Source organism: Homo sapiens, chromosome 7 (assembly GCF_000001405.40).
Source record: "Homo sapiens chromosome 7, GRCh38.p14 Primary Assembly".
Classification (NCBI taxonomy): domain Eukaryota; kingdom Metazoa; phylum Chordata; class Mammalia; order Primates; family Hominidae; genus Homo; species Homo sapiens.
This window is the reverse complement of record NC_000007.14, coordinates 27,379,237-27,385,829: the sequence shown is the minus strand read 5'-3', so window position 1 is coordinate 27,385,829 and position 6,593 is coordinate 27,379,237. Positions and strand designations below refer to the sequence as shown.

The 6,593-nt window shown below is 38.2% G+C and overlaps 1 long non-coding RNA gene across 1 annotated transcript; it reads right to left on the bottom strand.

Moving 5' to 3' along the window:
- Window positions 1–4,623: 4,623 nt before the first annotated feature.
- Window positions 4,624–5,613, bottom strand: LOC105375206 (uncharacterized). Its single transcript, XR_927134.3, has 2 exons — window positions 5,455–5,613; window positions 4,624–5,372 (listed from the first exon to the last, which is right to left on the bottom strand). It is a non-coding gene; the product is annotated as an uncharacterized LOC105375206 (long non-coding RNA).
- Window positions 5,614–6,593: the final 980 nt, after the last annotated feature.

The following is a 6,593-nucleotide window of genomic DNA, read 5'->3' as shown; positions in this document are numbered from 1 at the left end:
ATAAGTGTGTATCTCTATATCTATATTTGTACATATCTATACCTCTAAACCTTGAATACAAAGAATATGCCCATTATATAATTGTCCTTGAAATATTGATCAAAATAACCCTATTTATAAGAGACAAAAAAATCTTAACCACCTGGAAACTAAGAAGTTATCTCTTTAACTCTTGGTCCATAGAAAAATTAAAACAAAATTTAAAATGCAATATCTAGAAAATATTGATAATGCAAGAATCATGTATCACAATCTTTGGGATATTGCCTCTCACCACATAGTTCTACTAACTAGTGTTGTGAAACATAAAAGAATGAAAATAATTAATAGGAACAGTCATTCTGGCAAGTTATAAAAATAATAATAAATATAACTAAATATGGCAAAAGGAATTAGTTTTTTAAATGGAACTAAAAATGGATCCAAAAGATGGTACTTGGGATAAATAAACAAAAAAAAAACACAATAAAATAGATAACAAACCATTAGCCAACCTAGTCAAATAAAAAGATGAAACAGCATATACAAAATTAGAAATGGGTAAGGGAAGTAACCACAAATAGAGTAAAATGTTAAAATAAAATAGAAAACCAACAAATAAATCCATGAGCTACTTCTCTGAAAACAGAACAAAACAGAAAAACTGCTGGCTAAAATAATTAAGAAAAGAATATGAACATAGGCTAATACAAAATCAAAATAGTACATTGGGAACTGTTTTGTATGTATACAAAACAAAATAATTTTGAGATATTTCTTTGCTCAGCTCTACTGAAATAAAGTTGAAAACCTGAATGAAATGGATAGCTTTCTAGAAAAACATAAACTACAAAAACCAATCATAGAAGTTACAGAAAATCTAAATAACCAATGATTAGAGGAAAAAAATAGCGTACATTATCAAAAATCCAACTCGCTCAAAAGCACTAGAATCAGACACTTCACAGGTGCAAAGAATGTTTTAAAGAAAAGATCATTCCAGGACTACTTAAACTGTTCCAGGCCACAGTAAAAGAAGAAAAACTTTCAAATTAGTTTTTGAAGCTAACAAGATATCAATTCCAAAAATCGACAATGATAATATACACACAGAAAAACTATAGTCCAAAGTTATCTATTAATATCAAGGCCAAAAAACCCACTTAAATAAAGTGTTAGCAGAGAGAATCCAGTACACATTAAGAGAATGCTACCTCTTGATGAGAATTTCAAAGACCGTTGCTGAGAGTAGCTGGTGAGAATGTAGATTCGGGAGCCAAACTGCCTGTGTTCAGATTCCGGATCTGGTACTCACCAGGTATAGGACCTCGGACACATAATTATTTAACTTCTCTGTGCTTTAGTTTTCTCATTTTTCAGGTGGGGTTAATTATAGTATATTGAGAGGATTCCATGAATTAACACATGTAAAGTGCTTAGAATAGGGCCTGGAACAAAGTAAACACAGAATAAACATTACCTATTTATTTTCCAATACCGGAAAAAGCTATGACTATAGTTTAACATACTAATAGATCAAAAGAGAAAAATCGCAATTGCTTCCCTGGATGCTGAAAACTTATTTAATTATCTAACATTCATTGTAAAATTTTTATCCAACTTTTAACAAAATATTATTGAGGATGCTTTCATAACATATTAACTCAATAAAATAACAAGATCATTCACCAAAGCCTGAATCATACAGAATGCAGAAGCCCTAGAAGCCTTCCTAATTCAACTCAGGAGCAAGACCAAGATATCCATTCTTCCTGCTGTTATTTGACAGTGTTCCAGATGTAGTAGCCATTACAACAGAACAGGTGAAAGAAGTAAGTGGAAGCATGGGAAGAGGGTGGGCAAAATTACTACTTGCAGAGAGTACAAAAAGATAATCAATCGAAAAATTACTATAGCAGGTAAAAGAATTCAGAAAATTGATGGGTATGAAAATAAGATACAAAATATACACAGATTAGAAAACAAAATGAAAAAAAAATACTCATTTATAAGAAGAAACTGAAAAATATCCAGGAATGAACTTAACAAGAAATGTTGAAGTTGTGCATGAAGAAACTTTAAGATGCTACTAAGGGACACAAAAGAAAACCTGAATAAATGGAAATGCTAACCTTGTTATTGGATAGAAAGACTTAATAATCATAAAAAGTCAATTCTTCTTAAATCAATCTAAATAGACCTATTTAATGCAATCTCAATAGAAGTACCAACATGGTAATTTTCAATTCCAGACAGATTTTCAATTTTCTACACAAAAGTAAACATGCTAGTGTGTCTAGAAAATTCTGAAAAAGAAGAGTAATGGAGCATACTTGTCCTAGCAGATGCTAAAATGCATGATAAATTTGCTCTATTTCTTATAACGAGATTTTGGCAAATGAACAGACCAATCAGTGGAATGAGTACAGACTCCACAAATAACACACTCAAGTTCAAACAGGAATTTAGTTTACAACAGTGACATTGTATATCGGTAAAGAGTAAATGGGCCATCAGTAAGCAGTGTTGAGACAAGTGGAGAGCCATTGGGAAGCAAAATAAAGCTGTATCAGTACCTCTCTCCTTATACCAAATTAAATGTTAGAAAGGAACCACAAGACTATAAACCACAAAAGTACTAGAAGAAAGCAAGGAATATTGTTTTTCATTTTTAATAATCTTGAATTGACATAGAACCCAGAAGTCCCTAAGAAAACGCATGATTATATTTAACTATATAAAAATAAAAAATGGCTCCATGGCATAAAACACTTTAAACTGAATCAACAGAAATGACAAAATGGGGAAAAATAGTTAAAATTCTTACAACAGAATATACATGTGTGACATACAAAAGTTAATTCCTGATATGTAAAAATAACCTACAAAAAAAGTTCAACAACCAATAGAAAAATCGGTCAAAGGAGATAAACAAACTTCAAAGAAACACACGTGGTACTTACACATATGAAAAGGTGCACGGCCGGGTGCAGTGGCTGTCACGCCTGCAATCCCAGCACTTTGGGAGGCCAAGGCAGGTGGATCACAAGGTCAGGAGTTCGAGACCAGCCTGACCAACATGGTGAAACCCCGTCTCTACTAAAAATACAAAAATTAGCTGAGCCTGGTGGTGTGCACCTGTAATCCCAGCTACTCAGGAGGCTGAGGCAGGAGAATCGCTTGAACCTGTGAGGTGGAGGTTGCAGTGAGCGAGGATGGTGCCATTGCACTCCAGCCTGGGCGACAGAGCAAGACTCCATCTCAAAAAAAAAAAAAAAGGTGCTCAATCATAAGAAGAGAAGTGGGAATTATAGGTCTGAAGATTATAGCATTATTTTTGCCTATGAGGCAAAAATTTCAAAACTTGTCAACACACTATACAGGTGAGCATATGTAGGGAGTCACTGGCACTCTTGAACATTGTTGACAGGAGTGAGAATTGGTGCAACCTCTAGAATGCAATCTGTCAAAATTAAAAATATACAAACCTAGGCCGGGCACAATGGCTCATGCCTGTAATCCCAGCACTTTGGGAGGCTGAGGCGGGTGGATCACTTTAGGTCAGGAGTTCGAGACCAGCCTGGCCAACACGGTGAAACCCTGTGTCTACCAAAAATGTAAAAAATTAGCTGGGTGTGGTGGCACGCACTTGTAATCCCAGCTACTTGGGGGATTAAGGCAGGAGAATCACTTGAACCCAGGAGGCAGAGGTTGCAGTGAGCTGAGATTGTGCCACTGCACTCCAGCCTGGGTGACACAGCAAGACTCCATCTCAAAAGAAAAAAATATATATACAAACTTTGGCCTGGCAACCTCACTTTTAGAAAATCTTCTATTTGCCAAAATAATGAAAGATGTATCTACCACACTGCCCAAAGTACAAAACTGGAAATAGTCAAAAAACCATAAACAGAGAAGTGATGAAATAATTTATGGCATATCCTTATAAAGAAGTATATGTGTTGATATGAAGAAACCCCAAGATATGTCATTAAGTTAAAATCATGTGTGTGTGTGTGTGTGTGTATGTATATACAAATATATGTTTGGAAAATCTCTGAAAGGTACATATGAAACTATTGTTGGAGGTTAATTATAGGAAAGAATTGTTATATACTATTTTGTGCTATGTAATTTTTTTTTACTGTGTAAATGTTATTTAATACTAAATAGTAATCTTTTTTTAATTTTTATTTTTTTGGTGGAGTCTCACCCTGTCGCCCAGGCTGGAGTGCAATGGCGCGATCTTGGATCTCTACAACCTCTGCCTCCCGGGTTCAAATGATTCTCCTACCTCAGCCTCCTGAGTAGCTGAGATTACAGGCGCCTGCCACCACGCCCAGCTAATTTTTGTATTTTTAGTAGAGATGGGGTTTCACCATGTTGGGCAGGCTGGTCTCAAACGCCTGACCCCGTGATCTGCCTGCCTCGGCCTCCCAAAGTACTGGGATAACAGGCATGAGCCACCACACCCAGCCACTAAATGGTAATTTTTAAAATGATGAAACAAAAATAAAAAAGATAAGGACTCAGGAGTAATTTTATAAGGGATTCTAAGTACATGAAAGACTGTCCACCATGGACAGTGGCTAGCCATTCTCAATTTTCATAGAAGATATCCTCTCCAACAAAAAGAAATAGTGATTAAACATGAATATATATATATATATTTGGATTGGAGAAAAAGAATAATTTCCTGGTGGAGGTGAAGGAGAGTTGTAACATCCTCTGAAAGGCTTTGAAAGGAGGGTTTGAGTCTGGGGTTGGTGGTGGGTGAATGGGGGAGAGGAGGGCCCTGGTGGCCCAGGGAGGCCTCTTTCCACCCCTGGATGCTGTGACTCTCTTTCCAGCAACGACACCTCTCTGCTGGCTGACAGTTTAATGAGCATTTTACCCAGGGCATTCACGCCAGTAGGAAATGTTGTGAGATTTACAAGTGCCCATTAGTTAAAAGTTCTCAGAGCCACTGTAGATTCAGCACTGCATATAGTTTCTGTTTGGGACTTCCTTTTGCTTCCAGTGTTGGAGATCCAGCATAAAAAAGGGCCGCACCTCAGGGAGCTTCTGTGTTCTCTTAAGCATTCTAAACAGCCATGGGTATGAAATAGTGAGCTCCTCATAGTTGATAAATTATAAAACCCCACCGCTCTCCCACAGAGAGCTCTAGCCTATAAGGTAAAAATGTGGTTCCCTCCATAAATGAATGATCCAGGATACTTCAGTGATGATGGGGAGCATATGGAGAATAAATAAGCCAGAGTAAGCAGAAAGTCAACTGAGTCCGGGTGGCTGCTGTTGGTCTCTGCTGCAAAGCGTACTCCATCATTCATCCTCTTGGTCAGTGCTTCTCAAATTCTGGTCCCTGGACCAGCAGCATCAGCATCATCTGGAAACTTGTAAGCAATGTAAATGATCAGGACCTTCTCCAGAACTGCTGGATCAGAGATTCCTGAGGTGTGGGCTGGCAATCTGTACCTTGAGAAGCTCTCAAAGCCAGTGCTCAAGTTTGAGAACCACTACTTTAGGCTTCTGGAAGAAGACCACCAACAGGAATGAGCACTGGCTGGACTCTGTATCCTTCCCTTCAAAGGAACCCAAGGTGACCTTTCAGCTTCATGGTGCCTCTTCAGCTCTGGCTGTTCATTGGCTACCTGCATCCCCTAAAAGGAGCATCCTCTGATGATATTGGTGACCTCACAGAAGGCACAGCCATTCCGGCTCCTGTGCCTGGTGTGGACACATTCCAGAATGTCAAGGGAAGCAAAGTTGACCCTATGGTCTTATGCTAGCCACGATAATATCTAGCATCCCAAGGATATACCAGTGACTGTAAGGCACTAAATCTCACCATTAAGGGCTGGAACCTTTGTGGTTCAAAAATCTCCTGTTAGGATGTTACCTTAAATAAAATCCTTGAAACCTTGGCCCATGTCAGTTTGCAGATTGTTGCTTCCATTTTCCTATCAGCCTAAGGATTTAGTTGTTATGAGAACAAAACAGGATGGGGGCAAGAGATGACAGGAGAGGAAGCCATACCCAACCACTGCAGTTCTGGTTCTGGGAGTCAGTAAATGTTCTTATTGTTGAGGTCAATTTGATTTGGATTTTCTGTTATTTGCTGCTAAAACACCCTACTGATAGTGACGGTTATTATTCCTTTGTGTATATGGGGAAACTGAGGCACAGAGAGGTTTAGCGACTTTGAGATCAAACTTTGTGACTTTGTGTAAATGTTAAGACCACAGCTCTGCAGTACAAACACCATCTTTCTGCATCAGAAATTTGCTGCCCAAAGTACACTGGGATAATTCCCCAGATTAGGAACTGGGGACACCACCCACCGCACCCGTACCTTGAGTAGCACTCAGCAAGGCTGAATTCAGAGCAAGCATTCAGAAGCAGCTCCACTCCCTCTGGCCCCGTGATAGGGAAAGCAGGGTTGTTTTGAGGCTGTAAGCCCCCCTCCTCCAACCTATCTAGTGAAGTTGCAAATCAGTGTTGCCTGGTGGATAGCAAATCAAGTTTCAAGGTTACAGACAATAGAGAAAGGAAAAAGGTAAATGGGAAATCATTTATCAAGACCATATTTAAAAGAAAAAAAAAAGCTCAGGTCA